Source organism: Homo sapiens, chromosome 12 (genome assembly GCF_000001405.40).
Source record: "Homo sapiens chromosome 12, GRCh38.p14 Primary Assembly".
NCBI lineage: Eukaryota > Metazoa > Chordata > Mammalia > Primates > Hominidae > Homo > Homo sapiens.
Genome location: NC_000012.12, coordinates 269,564 through 287,010, shown reverse-complemented (window position 1 = coordinate 287,010; position 17,447 = coordinate 269,564). Strand labels below are relative to the sequence as shown.

General features: G+C 39.8%; 1 protein-coding gene across 1 annotated transcript in view; it reads left to right on the top strand.

Moving 5' to 3' along the window:
* The window catches only part of KDM5A (lysine demethylase 5A), a 109,264-nt gene extending 102,310 nt beyond the window's left edge, over positions 1 to 6,954 (top strand). The window contains exon 28 of the mRNA NM_001042603.3: positions 1,349 to 6,954. Coding sequence (NP_001036068.1) covers positions 1,349 to 1,555 — 207 coding nt within the window. The 3' untranslated portion in view covers positions 1,556 to 6,954. The remainder of the gene's footprint in view (positions 1 to 1,348) is intronic.

Here is a 17,447-nt window from a genome sequence, read left to right as displayed (position 1 = left end):
TAATTAATGTCATCTCCATTTTCAGATGAGGAAATTGAGTCACTCAGGTTAAATGACTTGCCTGAAATGATACACACTGGAACTCAGAGCTTCTGAGTTGAGTAATCTTGATGTTAACACAATATTGTCTCTTAAGATCTAGAACTTTAGCATAGGAACAAAACAAGTAGAATATCATTTTGACAAATTATTTTTCCCACCCCTTATTACAAGCCTAAAACTACTGACGTGACTACTGTGGTTTTGACAGTTTTTTATAGGACATGGAAACTAATTTTGAAAACTACTCAGTTGCTATGAATGAAACTCATTTACCTAGCCAAAACCTCCTTCATCTGTTCTTTCTCTTAAGTTGTATAGAGGTACTTCTTGGATCCCTTTCTATTCCTTACTTTGATATCTGGTAAAGCTCATGGTTTTAAGTGGCTTCTTAACGTTACCAATGAAATGACCAACCTTGGTATTGAGGTGAGGAAGAGTAGCTCTTTTCATCTTAAATGTTCTTGTCTGCCATGACATTAGCTGTAAAAACTACCACAATCAGCCTTCAAATATAAAAGCCAAAAGTCACTTTATTGTTAACTCTTAAGTCCAAGGCTTAAAGTCACCAAACTACAATCCCTTCCTAGCCTCCTGTAATCACAGTATTGTCAGAAGGGTCAAAGTTTGACACCTGCCACTGACCTATCAGTTTTTCAGATTTTAATTTTAAACCCCAGAGTGATCTATTGACCTGTGTCTTTGACTGTTATAATTGGTTAATTTGTAAGATTTGACATCTGATATTTGCTAACTTTTTATAGGGAGTTGTATTTGTAACGGAAGAAGAGAAGAATAAAAAATATTAGTTTTAAAAGTGGCCTATGTGACTGCTTTTCTAAAAAGGTATTTAATGCTCTTAGTACTTTGGCTTATCTCTTTGAAATAAAGCTAATACACAGGATTGCCTTCACATTGTTGTACTCTTCCTTTCTTGATTGATAATTGCATTGTCTTAGAGCCTAGAAATTGTTAATATTAGCTAAAACTACTTGGCTGCTCTATTAGAAGTTCCCTTTTTGTCAAATTTTTCTCAAACATGTTTCTGCCTCACAAGGAGCCCCAGGTATTCATGAGGTAATGGAGTACCTAAGAGGCCTAATTTTGTGGACACACTATGGTGAAATATAATTTTGGGGTATTAACTTCTCAGCTTCTTTCTTTAAAAAATAACCCCATAAGAAGTCATTGCCTATCTAGACATCCCAGTTGTTTGCTATTGTTTAAGCCAAGAAAGCTCTTTGGTTTGCTTTTATTCTAGGCTTAATGTTTATGTAACCTAAACATTCCCCAATCTTGTTTCCTACAGGTAGACTGGGTACAATGTGATGGTGGCTGTGATGAGTGGTTTCATCAAGTTTGTGTGGGTGTATCTCCAGAAATGGCTGAAAATGAAGATTACATCTGTATAAACTGTGCAAAGAAGCAGGGGCCAGTTAGCCCAGGTCCAGCACCACCTCCTTCCTTCATAATGAGCTACAAACTACCAATGGAGGATCTTAAAGAGACCAGTTAGCAGATGCTTGGTTAGTTTGGGACATGGGGGGACATGGACCACATTGAGACCTTAGTCATCAAGTAGAGTGGTTTATATCCACTTGGAATGTTGCTTCCAAAGATGAATGGCCTTCAGAGAAAGTCCCCTTAGTGCTGGCTTCCTCTTTGCATGGACTCTGTGGGTTACATTCTCTATCAACATATCTATGCAGAGGGTGTCTTCTTTGGTACAACAGCCAATATTTCATGTCTCCTTTGAGTGTGGTTTACTGCATTAAGGCCAGATGCTTAATTGAGCTCTAGGGTGGCTGGTTAGTATTAATACATTGGTGTGCTAACAGGGCATATAGGATGTGGCTTTTGTCCAGCTGATAGTAGTTAGAGGCTTACAACTTAGGAGCAGCACCAACTGAAGGTGCTAATTGCTTGGATCTCCTTCATTGGGATAGTTGGAGAGGGATTGGAGTACCACTTTCCTTCCACTGTTACCTGGTACTTAATGCCCTAAAGATACAACTAGGAGTAACAGGGCCAAAGTTATTTCTGTTAGACGTCAAGGAATGGTATCACAGTCTATTGACCTCAGCGATTTGTGCTTGTTTGTGCTAGAAGAACATCCCAAATAGGAGAACCTCTCACAAGCTGGGGCAGGTCACCTTATCTTTGTAAGATGAGGATATCATCTAGATCAGAAATCTGACTAGATTGGATTCTGAGGAGAAGAACCTACTACAAGGCAAGGAGCCGTTTTTTGGCTTTGAAAAGTCTTGCTGTCTTGGGTCTACATTTTAGGGAAGAGCAGGTACATGGATCCAGGCTTCTGCCAAAAAAAAAAAGAGAAGAAGATGACGATGATGACCAGTCGTACTATCTTACTGAGCCACAGTGATGCATGCTTTTCGGGGAAAACTTCATTCACAAGTATTCCAGACACCAGGCTTCAGGCATGGCCATGAGCAAGACCAGCAAATAACAGCTTTTTGCCTTGCAGCCCTGACCCCAATGTCTGCTGTTTCCAACACTGGTGATTTCTAACTACGGCCCACAGCAGATGCTGTTGAATAACACCATGGCTTCATCAGAGGATGTGGGGTTGTAGTACCTCTGGGTGATGAAGTTGTTTTAGTAAATCCATTTTTAAAAAAAAAAAAGGACTTGTTTTTACTTTTTTCTAAATGTCTCTGACTACTGACTGTTCTATACATAGATTATTTTTCCTTTTTTAATATACATATATGAATATATAAATATATATATTTACTGTTACCAGCAGCATATGACAGAGTTTCAACATCAAAAATCCATTTGGGGGCTTGCTTTTTCTTTTTTGCTTTAAAAAAAAAAATCCCATTCCTTCTTTGTAGTACAAGGAGTTAGCACTCCCTCCTCCATCCCAGCCTGACCAGATCTTCCATTTTGCTTTTGTTCATATAGATAATTATATGTCCTTTGTGTGTTGGGACTTGTCCCTGTCTGTTGGGAAACTTGGTCTCACTCTAGTCTGTGCTGGCTCTTTTTTCTTTTGTGTGTGAATGTTTGAAACTATGGTGCTGTGTCCTCTTCCCTCCTGTTGTGTTCTCTGTTCTTCTTAAGGTATTAGGTAAGCTGTATGTAAACTCTTATTAGAAGGGGACTAATTTTTTTTTAAAGGACAAAAAAAAAAATGACTAAAAATAGTGTTTTGTCATCACTGTCTGGTGTCTTTATTTTGGTTTAAAAAAATCTGTGGTTTGACTTAAATTCATCAGTTTTCCTTTTAAAGGGGGGATTGGGGTGGACCTAGCAACAGCTTATAGTTTCCTCTTCCCTTTTTGCCCCAGTCTCTTTTAAAGAACTGTCTTCTAGTAACTAGAAGTGAAATGTACTGTCCAGTTACAGTTTGAGTGGGTATGAGATTTAACTCAAAAGGAATCTTACAAAAAAAAAGATGTTTTCTTATAAAATCCAATTTCTGTAAATGTTTTCTCTGAAGTTCATACTACCTACTTTTTATTCATTCTTAATACTGTATAACATTTTGAGTGTTTTGACTTGTTCAGAGGTTTGTTAGTGTTGCTGTGCATATGTCTTGAGGTCTCATCTGAAGTAAGTTTGTGTATGATCGAAGATTTCAATGGATATTGCAAGGTAACTAATTAACTGATTTCATAAGTTTTCGTTTTGCCAAGCTAACGATTATCAATTAAGAATTTCCTCTGGTTGATGTTATACAAGAAAGCACAATATTTTTTGCCTGTTGATCTTCTTTGTAACAGTCTTCAGATATTTGTGGGTTAAAAATTGAATGTAATTTTAAGTGACAGATGCCTGGAATACATTTAAAATTTTTATTTTTCCTTCCTAATCATCCATTAACTATTCCACTATCAGTGGAGAGTCATGAGGATGCTGAGAAAGTATGAATAGCTTCCTGTCACCTTCTGACGTTTTGAAACTTAAATATGTCTTTTCGTTGATACTGTGGGATTTTCTGTATTTACTTGACAGTCATGGAGGATTTGGTATGACTTGACCACAGGTTTAGACCAAGGCTGAGAAGAACAGAAGGGAGAAATTAATGGCAAAACAAAAAATACACAAATCTGCGGTTTTGGAATTAATGAAACAAGATTCATCTATTTAAAGAAATGTTGGTGTTCTAATACAAAGCATTATTTTCACTTAGAGAAAATTACTTACTTGCTCCCTTCTGTATTGTAATATTTTGTATTAAGACATGATTTAAAATGTCTTTCTACCCTTATCTCCTCTAAACTGCAACTGAAGTTGCAATTCTTCATCATTAGTATTTTAACTCTGGCAAAGGTTATAGAAAGAAAAATGGAAATATGGTAGGCCTGTGGTATTCTTAAAAGCTAAGTCATTAGAACTATGCAGATCCCCAAGTTTAAAAGTACAAATACAGCACCAGTAGTTAGCTTTCTAGCTGGGGGAGAAGACAGGAGATTTTTCTTCCACAGATGTTTATTTTGCTTCCTGATAGGTACTGCAGCAAAGCCATGTTGATGTGTAGATGCATGACTTCCTCACTAAGCTGCTGCACACCAGCTTTGCCTGCATGATTCAAATTTGTGCCTCAGTAAAATTATAAATTATTGCATGTCATACCTTGAATAATGGAAACGGCAAACATTAAACCTGTGATTACCCATAATGTACTTTAATAATAAAAAACATGGCAGCCAGGTGCAGTAGAGTGCACCTGTGGTCAGGAGGCTGAAGTGGGAAGATTGCTTCAACCTGTGAGTTTGAGTCCCGCCTGGTCAACAGCGAGACCCCATGTGTCTGTCTGTCTCTCTCTTTTTTTAAAGGACAGAGGCTAAGCTGTAAGGTTAGCATGGTTCTGCCTGGGCTTTGCTTCTGTGCTTCTGTGCAGGCTGAGCTGTAAGGTTAGCATGGTTCTGCCTGGGCTTTGCTTCTGCGCTTCTGTGCAGGCTGAGCTGTAAGGTTAGCATGGTTCTGCCTGGGCTTTGCTTCTGCGCTTCTGTGCAGGCTGAGCTGTAAGGTTAGCATGGTTCTGCCTGGGCTTTGCTTCTGCGCTTCTGTGCTAGCAGGTGCCCACAAAATGTCTTTTTGAATTTCTTAATTTTTGGGTTCTGGATGCAATTCGTGCACGCCAAGAAACTACTTGCTTGTCAGTATTTTAATTCTGTAGTACATGTGTGTGAATATCAGCCAGTACTTACAGTAGGAGGATGAACAGAAAAACTGAGAAGACCTGTCTTTCAAAAGATGGGTTTATCCACTTTTTAAGGGAAAAAGTGACAGTTTGGCATGGGATTTGAAAAGTGGAAATTGTGGAAAAATTGAGCTGTTGAAGTCCCACATATAACCAGATTTAATAAAGCTTCACATGTGAATTAGCTCCATATGTGTGTAGAAGGTTGCTTTTATAGCAGGTCCTTAAGTACTCCTTTTGAAATTCCTCCTTTTTTTTTAAGTCATACCATTACTTCTTTGGATATGAATGTCCCAAGTGGTATCTCCTACTGTAGTATGAGGAAGAATGGCTGTTAATGTATTTTTTGAATTTTGGTCTTGTCTTGGCCTGGATCATATCCAGTCACCACTATGCAACAAATGATGTGCACTGGGCAAGGATATGATGGGTTATGAAAGCTGTATCTTGTTTGTTTTTTCTTTTGCAGTACTCCAAGTGGTCTAAACAGGAATGTCTTGTAAAACCTCAAGACTCCCTATTGATTATTCCCTTACATATTTATTTACAATTTATCAGGGTAATTGGTGGTGCCTTATGAAAAGTATAACTCGATTTCTTGATCTTTGAGCATGTTTTGTGTTTCTTGTGTTTTCTAAAAGAATATTAGATATGGTTAATTGCATTACATCTAAAAGATTTAAAAAATTGTGTGTATGCTCAGGTTCCCCACACCCATACCCACCCTAACCCCTGTCATTTACATTGGTGGCAACTTTAAATGGTAACCAAGCAAAAGTACATTTTGATAATGAGTATTGATAATCCTGAGGAAAACTAGTGAGTATATGGGAGCCACCTTTGACCTGTGCCAAAGCAGTTTCTAATTTCATTTGCTAACTATAAAATAAAGAACTGAGCCAAAATAATTTGATCAGTGGTGTGATTAGCCTATTATCATTGCTGAGAATAGTGTTTTTGGAGTGTGAAGTGATTCCTGAAGATTTCACCTGCCTTCTGTTTCCAGCAAGAATCCAGTGATGACCAACACATTTCCTCACTTTTGGTTCTTGAGAAGTTTATCCCTTTGCAACAAACCATTAATAGGGAAAACAAGGAAATGCTTTCCCTTTCTCTTTGGCTTCTTAAAGCTCACAACCAATTCAGACCCCAAGTTACTTCAGAGAAGCAAATGGCACCTTTTCCCCATTGCCAAGGATCCCAGCTTATGCAGATATGAAGGACGGATCATTTCTGAAAATGTTAAGACTCTGCTTGCAGTGGACTTGGCCTCAGTTTCATGAAATGTGTAACTCTGTATGTGTATGTTAGGAGGAGGGTTGGTTGAAAGAGCGGGGGCAGGGAGGGGAATCTGATTACCTCTTGGGAAATAATTTTCTTGCCAACAAAAAGATACACTTGAAGTTTCTTAAGGTGGCAAGTCCATTAAAAAAAAAAATTGTGTTGGACCCTCCCAGTTTAGATCAAGTATTTCTTGGGGGTCTTGCTATTGTGGTTGATACCAATAAATGGAAGATCCAGAATATTTTCATTTAAAGCTCAACCATTAATTGGAACATGGTGAAACATTGTACACATTGTAAAAGTAGGGAACAGTACAAAAGAATGGAATCAAATACTATATTATGTGAATAAACTAGAGTGATTTTGGAATTTCACTCTCTTCACCCCTTCTCACTTGTATGTTCTGTAAAGTGTATTTCTACTTTGGTAGGAAGAAAGACTTGATTTAATATTTCCTTAAAGTTCCATGAAATTTCTTTATTAGGCAAAGCTTTTCCCTAGCCTGATCTCTGGAGCTAGGTTGTGTATCTTGTCAGTGGGGAGGGGGAAAAGGCACCACAGGAAGAAGCTTTAGAAATGGCTCCGTGGCCCACCTTGTATTGAGGAGCCCTTTTGAAGTTGTCAGGGACGTAGGATGAAATCAGAATGTCCTTTAGTTTCAAAAAAGGTTTGCAGAAGCCCCGATGAGAATCTTAGAATTACGTCCCGTAAAGAACACTGGATTTAGGAATAAGAGAATTGGGGTTTTAGCTTCTATGTTTGGCCCCTTAGGTTAGTTGCTTATCTGTTGTGGACCTTGGCTTCCTACCACATGCAAGTTAGTGACAAAGAAAAAAGTTACAACCCTCCCCTTGACAGGGTAAGACATAGATGATTTCTAAGGATGTTTCTTCCTAAAAAGGTTACAGAATTTAAAGACGACAATAGAGGCTGTATAGTCCAAATCCCCATTTAATGAGCGAAAAATTGATTCGGCACTCCTGAGGACAGAACATACAGTGTCTGTACTGACTATCTCTTGGAAAAATCTAAGTATTGGTCACTAACATGTATTGGAACTCGCCTATAGACTTCCCTCTGCTGGGGTCTGAATTTTGCAGCATTTTCAAGCACTTTCACTTATGCCCTGGGGCTAGCAAGTCGGCATCTCTATTCCATTCAATGCTGAACTCCATGGAGGTAAGGTGAGAGTGTTAGACACATTTTGACAAACCTAGCCTAGACGTTCAGTCATCTATGGGCCCCTTCCCTCTGCAAATTATGCTGCTCTGTTGAGACCAGTAGGCCACCTGGGCACTGGCAGCTTTAGTCTTTCTGACCTAGCCCTACCATCCTCTCTAATTGGGGCTAAACTTCATTGACAACGCAAAACAGCAAATCACTGATGTTCTCTTTGGAACCTTGAATAACAATTCAAACTCATCTCGTCTTGGTCACTTCCCAGGACTGGTTTTGTCATAGAAACATCTCGTTTCAGAGTTCAGTTGAAACATTGAGAGACTGGTTTGATTCACTTTGCTTCTCATCCCTATAATGCATTGCTGCCATCTGAAACAGAAGCCCATCCAGTCACCAGGCCTCAAATTGTTACCTACTTTCCTCAATTCATTTTACCTTTGCTGCTGTCCTTGCCAGTTCTTCGCATTATGGAGATTTTCATTCCCTATTCCTTTGTAAATATGCTTTTCTGGTTTTTCATTAACTGGAAATTGACTCTCCCTCAGCCATACTTACCTTAGGACTATTTGAAGTGGAGAGTGTTCATTTTCTCACTTTACTGCTAGTAAATGGATGGATTACAGGGTCTGTTGCCCCTGTATTCTTGATTGCCATTGCTACACCATTGTTCTTCTATTTTGAGGCTTCTGCTGTTGAGCTGCACCATCTATCCTCCTCACTCATCTCTGGTTACTACTCGTCATTTATGGAGGGGACTTCGATGATGGGCATCTCTTTCCCTGGTGCTGCCATCATTGTGGGCAATTTCATTAGTCATGGATGACCTTAACAATTTCTGGACCTCCATCTCCACTAGTCATTTTTTACTCCATTTAGCAAACCAATTTTAAGTCCACACTTCGGACTCATCAGAAATTTATTTTCTGAAATGTACAGCCTAATTTATTCTATGATTTTAATGTCTTTTCCTTTAATCTCTTCCTCTCAGTATACTTACTCTTTGACCTCAAGAAGCCTCCAATTCCTTAACCAACCTTTTCCCCCCCCCCTCTGTCAGTTTACTCTGGCTTTACCGCTTCCCCATTTAGCATAGACTCTGGCCTGTCACTCTGGCTCTGCAGAACCTTATCCGTGGATCAGTTTGGCCATCTGACTTCTTTGATTTCATGGGCTGCTGCATGCTACTGAGTATATACCATTGGTTGGTAGCACCACAGATTGACTCAAGTAGGCAGGCTCTTGAAGCAGTTTAGCAGCCCTGGCGGTCCAACCTCTTCCGTTCTTAAAGACTATTTCAGATTTTCACCTCTTGTCAAATACTCAGCCTGTCACCTCTGCTGCCTCAGCAGAAGCCTACCCTCCTAACGGGTAAATTGAACCTAATAGGAGAGCTTCTAAGCTTCTTCCTTAGTTATCTATATCATCATCCTCATCTGTCCCAGAAGAGGTGTCTGTCCTCTGGTCAACACTATGAGAGTATAGGTGAATGAGCACATCAGTGAATCCTATCCCATTGTAACTCCTTAGAGACCTTGTTCTATCAATCAGCCCTTTATCTTCAGTATCTCTCATTTAGCATATAATTTCAAGCTCTGTATTAAATAGGAGTGCTCAACTACATATTTTCCCTTAAACCTGTCTCTGTTTCCTGTTCTCTTTTTCTTCTTTGTAGCCAAGCCTTACCTCTTCTCTGTATTTAGGTTTCAATCACTCCTCAGCCAGTTGTAATCTGGATTCTACCCTCATTTCACTGAAAGTTTCCCTATTGAAGTCAGTGAACTCCATATTGCTAGAAGTCATTTGTATTTGACCTCTCTTCAGTATGACATTGTTGTCCACTTCTTTTAAAAAACCCCTCCATTGGATTCTTGGCCACTACCGTTTCCTAATTTTTCTTCTTTTTAGCTGCTCTTTAATCAGCCTCCTTGAAATGGTGTAATTGGGGGCTCTTCTCTATATAACATGGGTGCCCCAGTCCACTCCCAATTACTTTTATTCATTTGAATAAAAGTATCACTTGCCCACGGGTTGTTTCTGAGCTGTTTAATCAACTGTCTGTTAAACATTTCCACTTGTATTTTTTTAACCTATTAAATGTTATTTCAATAGGTTTTTGGGGGACGTCGTGTTTGGTTACATGGGTAAGTTATTTAGTGGTGATTTCTGAGATTTTGGTGCACCCATTACCTAAGAAGTGTACACTGCATTCAATGTGTAGTCTTCTCTCTCTCACCCCCTTTCACCCTTCCCCCCAAGTCACCAGAGTCCATTGTATTAGTCTTATTTTCATCACCGTGGGCGTACCCTGTGGGATGATGTTAAACGTACTCTAGACTCTGTTGGCTATTTCTCTAGAGTTAGACCTCTGGAGACTTCTCAGATAGCTCATGGGTCTCTGGCCTTGCCCTGAAATTACTGGGTTCTCAGGGAGATGCTGGAGATGGCGGAGGCTCCTCACTCTTTGGGTCCTCCTGTGGCTCATTTTGATTGAGTTCCTCATTCAGCTGGTCGCAGTGGCCGGATAGTGTGGCCTGCTCCCTTCCTCAGGTTTTCTTGAGGCAGTGGTCTTTTTTGTAGAGGCTTTTTTTTTTTTTTTTTTTCCCTGGAACTCCCTTGGAGGTCTCCCTTCCCTTTCAAGGTTGTCTTGGGAACCTTGATAGTGCTTCTGGACCTAGGTTGAGACAGGGCCTTTCTCTTCATTACTTCTTGGGTATTGGTGGGTGGGTGGTTGACAGCTAGGCTGGAGGCTCATGGTTTCCTGGTTATTTTCACCAGCATCTCTCAACAGTCTCAGCTCGCTCATTCTTAAGATGTCAGCTTAAATGTTATCTCTTCAGAGGCCCCCATGTTCTCTCTTGCAATGGCCTGTTCTATTCCATTAGGGGACTTTGCCATATATGGCATATTTGTGTAAAAGTTCCATGAGAGCAGAGGTTTTGTTTCCTTTATCCCTCCATACACAGCAACTGGAACAATACAATGCATAGAGTAAACATGCAACAGATAACCTGAAGGAATGCTGTTTCATGCCTTCATTCCTTCCTATACATTATTGCTCCCCTAATGTTCTCTGTGTTTGGACTGCCATAACCTCATCTACCTTTTCTCCTTACTACCTTCTCATTCTTCAAAATTCAGCTCATCCCCAAATTCCTCTGAGAAGTCCTTCAGGTTGTTCCTCTCCATCTAATCTGAATAAGATGTCCTTTCTTGGAGCTCTAATAGCGTTTAGACTAGACACTGGTCCTCAGAGTGAGGTTTCTGCATGGACAGCATCACCGTCATCTGGGAATTCATTAGAAATGCAAATTATGAGGCCCTACCCTAGACCTCCTGAAACAGAAACTCTGGGAGTGGGGCCAACAACCTGCGTTTTAACAAGCCCTGCAGGTGACTGTGACGAACACAAAGTTTGAGGACCACTAGAATATAGTCACTGTAGAATATATCTCCAGGATCTGACACAACGCCTAGAGCAGGATTATTGTGAAGATCGACCTGAAATCTATCTTCCTGTAGCCTCATCAATCCTGGTTGAGAATATGAAAAACTAGTTGAGTTGCATCTCTGTTAGGCAGCTTTACAACATTTGAGGATAGCGATTATCTCTACTTCTCCACCTCTCATCCCTAGCTCCTCTGGTTTAATGTCTTTTTTTTCTTATGTGCTATAACTTTGAATCCCTTCACTTTCTTCCTTGGACTTACCTGGACAATTCCAACTTACTTCATATCCATCTTAAGTGTATATTCAAAATATCCTTTTAGCTTTTAACCTACAATTCTGAAAGGTGGAACTATACATGTCTGTAATCACCCCAGCAAGACAGAGTTCACAATGAACATAGTTAGAATTCCATTTGTACAGTTGGAGGTGTTCCTAGGTGGGCGGATTGCTTGAGGTCAGGAGTTCAAGACCAGTCTGGCCAACATGACGAAACCCCGTCTCTACTAAAAATACAAAATTCAGCCAGGTATGGTGGCATACGCCTGTAATCCTAGCTACTTGGGAGGCTGAGGCATGAGAATCAATTGAACCCGGTAGAGGCGGAGGTTGCAGTGAGCCGAGATCGCGCCACTGCACTCCAGCCTAGGTGACAGAGGGAGACTCTGCCTCAAAAACAAACCATCCCTGTCGCTCCCATCCTAGACCAATCTAATTGCAAGTATCTCACAGGGAGCCCAAGTATCAATGTTTTTTTGAACAGCTTTATGGAGGTATAATCTATATACCATAAAATCCACTTATTTTAATATATGATTTTAGTAAATTTAAAGACTTGTGCAGCCCTTACCACATCATACAAACCAGAATGTTTCCATCACCCAAAAAGAAACTTCATGTCTATTTAGTCACTCCCTGTTTCTACTCCCAGCTCTAGGTGGCCATTAATCTGAGTATCTCTAGATTTGTCTTTTCTAGACCTAAACATCAGGTTTTTGTTTTTCTGCAGCCAGAGTTGAGAACCATAATTCTAAATGCATTATGAGAAATAATGGTTTTTAAAGATTATATATAATATTTTACGTATTTTCATATTTATGACTCCCATCCTTACAGTGAATGCGTCTATCACCAGTAAGACAAAGATCATTAATTTGATAATGGAACTTAACAGACCATTCTTTCCTTTTATACATTTTAGTATCATATTCAAAATGGCCTCCCATTCTGTCCCCAAGTTATTTTAAAACATCTCCAGTCTTGCTTTTTTCCCCTTTAGCTCATAAATGAATAGTGCTGGAAGATATCTCAGGAGCATTCTCCCTGAGATGATGTCTTCAGTAATGATCGCACGTATTGGTGTTGATTCCATCCTTGAAGTTACTTTCCTTTATCTTTCACAGTGGTGTTTCTTCACTAGAGGTTTTGCTGTCTGATTAACTTCTCTGCCAAATAAATGGACTTTTGCTTCATAGGTACACAAACATTTCTAAAACTTTTTTTGGAAAATATATTTCTTTCTTAAAAAAACAAATAGTGCATGCACATTTTTAAAAAAATAAATAAAAAATAATCTACCCCAAAATGACCAGTTAAGATTTACTTTCAGACAACTCTGTGCATATTTACATATGCTTATATACAACTATGTACACCTTTGCATAGATGAGATCACACTCTATGTACTGCTTTGTAACTTGCTTCTTTCACTTAATCCTGAGAACATTTGTACATGACCATAGATATAGATTTGTATTGTTTTTAATGGCTGTATAGTTTTGCATTATACTGAATCTTGATGTTTAAGAGCTATGTATATTGAGGACATTATTTCTTTGTCTTGTGTTGCAAATTTTTTACCATGTTATTATTAGTCTTTTAACCTTATTTATAGTTTTTTTGTTATAAAAGTTAAGTTTTATGATGTAAACTTAATCTCTTTGATTTTATAATTCCTGGTTTTCCCGACGTGCGTAGAATGACCTTCCCCACAAGGTAATAAAAATACCTCCATGATTTTGCTTAAAACTTTTATGCTTTATATTAAATCTTTGTTACATCTTGAATTGATTGGTGTGAAGAATGCCAAGTTTCTTTATTGCTCTGTTGACTACATTTAAGTTTCTTAAATGGTTTGCATGTCTGTGCATGTGTACATATAGTCATTCCAAAACCTCTAATGTGCAAACACAGCTTTACAAATGTGTATACATTCAGTATTTACTGTATTTGTTACCTACTGCTGCATAACAGTATTACTAGAGACTTAGCAGCTTAAAGCAACACACATTTATTGCCTCACAATTGCTGTGTCAGGAGTCAGGGCACAACTTTGCTGGTACCCTGCTTCAGGGTCTCACAAGGCTGTCATCACGGTGGTGGTTAAGGCTGTGTCATATCTGAAGTTTGAGGAAGAATCTACTTCTGAGCTCATGTGGTTGTTGGCAGCCTTTAGTTCCTTTTGGGTCGTCGGAATAAAGGCCTTAGATTTTGTTTGGCCACTGGCCAGAGGTCACCTTTAGTTCCTTGGCCCCTGCGCTTTCCCAACATGGCTACTTGCTTTCTCAAAGCTAGCAAGACTAGGTTACAATCTTATGTAATGTAAACATGTATGTATAATCACATACATCCTGCCACCATTGCCCTATTCTATTGGTGAGAAGCAAGTCCCAGGTCCTGCCCATGCCAAGAGACGATCACAGAAGGAAGTGAACACCAGGGGAGGCAGGGATTGCGGGAGGCCACCTCTGAGTTTGTCTGCTATACTCACGCAGAATGTGCTGCATCATACAAAGACTGAAGTGCCTGAGAGCATAAGCTAACTTCCTTCGGCTTAATATAGGCTGGTGCAAAAGTATTGTGGTCAGTGGCAAAGACCGCAGTTAGTTTTGCGCTAACCTGTAAAATTCACTCTATCCATACTTTCCTATTCAAGTTAGATCAAAAAAGGTAAGTGTAATGTCTTTTTTAATGTTCATGAGAAGAAATGCAGTAACTTTTTACACTTGGGCTAACATTTTATAAGCTGCTGCAGTTTGAAGTATTTGTAACTGCCCTTTGGCCAATATCCTGCATTCAGTAGAACAAATTTACTTCTTAGGAAAATAGAAATCTCCAAATCTTGTCAACTGTGTTCCGGGTTCCTTAACTCTACTGATTTCTCCTCTGAACACCCTCCAAATGGTTCATATCCCTTTTTGTATCTATACAAAGCATTCTTTTAGTCTTCAAATTACAATTCTGTCTGAAGGAATCAGATCTTGAATTTTAAAATTTATAGTATTCACAGTGTGGATGGTTAAGTATCTTTATGAATTTGTTTCCTCTCTATACATATTTCTTCTACAGCCTGTGCTTTTGGAAGCTGTCAGCAAAAATTGCTGTAATTTCCATCGAGAAATGGAAATGTGAGGATTTCCTCATCATTGAAATTTGTCCTTTCCTGTGCCTCACAAGAATTTCTGTTTTGTTCCTAGGGATGGATACATTGGGGGTTTTGTAAATTGGTGGTATGCGTGGTATGAAAACATAGGAGGCAAGAGAAGAAACTGAAAGCAGAATTGAGAGTTTTAAAGTATCTGATCCCAAGTTTGTCACCTAGGAAACAATGATTTCTTTCCAAGATAATGGTATTGCCATCGCTGCTATTGACAGGTGACTCTTCAGACTTGTTTACAACTCCGCAAGGGCATGGATCCGTGCTGGCTCTGTGTGTGTGTGTTTTGCAGTTCTTGTTTGGAAAATGTGTAATATTCTAACTGCTGTAGGTTCTGTGGATTAATACATACACATCTTAAGTCCTGTCTTACAATTACATAGCCCTAAGATTTTCAGGTATCCTAACGTCAACTTTTCTATGCTTCTGTTACCACTAGGATAGTATCTACACATTTCTAAAAGATGGCCTGCACAAAAAATGTATTTTGGAAACATTATGTATAAATTGCCTAGTTCTGTCCTGGTTTTTCTAATATTATGAATTAAGTTACCATTGTATGATAAGTTGTGACCAAGCAAAGGTTTTTCTCATTTGCCAGATGGTTGTAGTGGGAGGTATTAAAGCTCTAGGAGATGACAAGTGGACAGGACCGAGCGAGAAGGAAATGGTGTGCTGAGTTCACCTGAAAGCCTCAGTTCCCAAGCTATTTCTTTGCTAAACTGTGTTTTTCCAAAGTTGTATCTACACCTTCTCTGGTTTGCAAAGAGGGGACAAAAGAGGGAAATTTTATACATATAAAATCTAAAGAAGAGAGATCTGATAACTAAGGTCAAGATACAGGGAAGGAATAGTAGATAATAAATAGTGTTAGAATATTTTGATGGGTAAATATGAGATGTTATAGAAGAAGCTGGAATGAAATGTGAATTTCGATATTAGAGCCTACCTAACAAAAATTGAAGTAGACAACAATCCCCCTTCTTCCCCCCTTTTCAAGTCACTCCTCTCCAAGTGAACAACAGCACTGCTTTTTTGGCTACAGAAAGCAGCTGAGGCTCAATCCCAAAGCAGCAGCAGGCTCCGGTCCAAAGTGCAAACCAAAAGAAGCAGCAGGAGGGGTAGAACAGAGTCATTACCAAAGACTGAGTACAGAATAAAGTGATTTATGAAAACCAGCATGGAAGGGCATGCTACAGGCTAAAGCCGGACTCAGGAAGGCCTGTTGTGAGGGAGAGGGGAAATCCACAGCCCGGCATGGGAGAAGAGAACCATGGGCACAGAGTAAGTGGGAAGACGGAATAGTGAGTGACCCACGGCCATACTCTACCATTTCTTTAAAGAACCGGCATAGGTTCCCAGAGCAGAAAGCCGGCAAGGATTCCTCTTGAATTCATGTTTGAAAAATACCCTCACGCTGAAATTACTAAACAAGATGGTAGTGTTGCTGTTTACATGGAAAGCTGAGTTCAGGGGCGGATCTAGATTTTGTAGGTCTTGAAGCTTAGACAATTTGCGGAGGGTCCCCTTTACGGAAAATGGCAAAAAATTAAGAATTCAAAACTAGGTACAGGGGATTGGAAGGCACCCATGCAAGGGGGTCCCGAAGCTTACGTTGAATTAACTGTGAGGTGAATCTGTTTGAGTGGAGCAGAAGGAGCTGGGGCAGACAGACATCCAAATCCTAAGTGTGTCACTTCTTAGCTTTGGAATCTTGGGCAGTTTAATTTTCCTGTCTGTGAAGCTCAATTTCTTACCTATAAAATAGGGATAATGCCAGTCTTTCTGGCTTGTCAATACAGACTAAATGAGAGAATGTATGTGAAGGTTCCTAGTACATGCCATGACTGCTAATCTGGATGACTTTATGTGGTGCTAAGTTTTGGTAAGTATGATTGTTGATGAAAAGTGGATATCAGCCAGGCGCGGTGGCTCACACCTGTAATCCCAACACTTTGGGAGGCCGAGGTGAGTGGATCACGAGGTCAGGAATTCGAGGCCAGCCTGGCCAACATGGTGAAACCTCTACTAAAAATACAAAATTTAGTACAAAATTTAGCACAAAATACAAAAATTAGTCAGGCATGGTGGTGGGTGCCAGCTACTTGGGAAGCTGAGACAGGAGAATCATTTGAACCCGGGAGGCAGACGTTGCAGTGAGCCAAGATCATGCCACTGCACTCCAGCCTGGGCAACAAAGAGCGAAATTTCGTCTCAAAAAAAAAAAAAAAAAAAGAAAAGAAAAGTGAATATCGATTATTCTGGTCATTATTGTTTGGAGCTCTGATTCCTGGAGATTGAGGAAATGTTTAAAGTATCTGCCAAGTGAGCTAAGCACTCCTAGGCTCTTATCTATATTCAGGGGGCAGATGGTACTCTACTGTCTTCAAGAAGCTTACAGACTAGAGGTGCTAGTCTGGGCTATAGTCATTGGCTGTTGGGAATATAAGAACTCTTGGAATAACTCGAGTTGCTGGATAGAAAGAACTGTGGCCAGAGCAGTTACAAGAGGGATGATCAGACCAGCAGTCTCTTTCTTTCCAAGCCTGAGATCAGCTGTGGAAGACCCAGAGCTGAAGTGAAGCCTGGGGATGACCCAGTCTTACTCTCTTGTTTTATGCATGAAAAACAGAGTCCTAGAAAGGCAAAATGGATTGCCCAAGATTATGTGGCTGATTCGGGTCATATCCAGGACTAGAAGTTTGGAGTTCTGCTTCCCAGGTACATTTTTTTTCATCACACTGAACTTTGCTCTAACTCATTCTCCATTTATGCCCCTTCTTTAGTTTTCCTTCTCCATTGTCCACCTAGCAGAACTCTATGGAAGGCCACCCTGGTCCAACAGTCGGGCTGCAGGACCTTTAGGCTTCTTTTGCCTGTTAGTCTGAC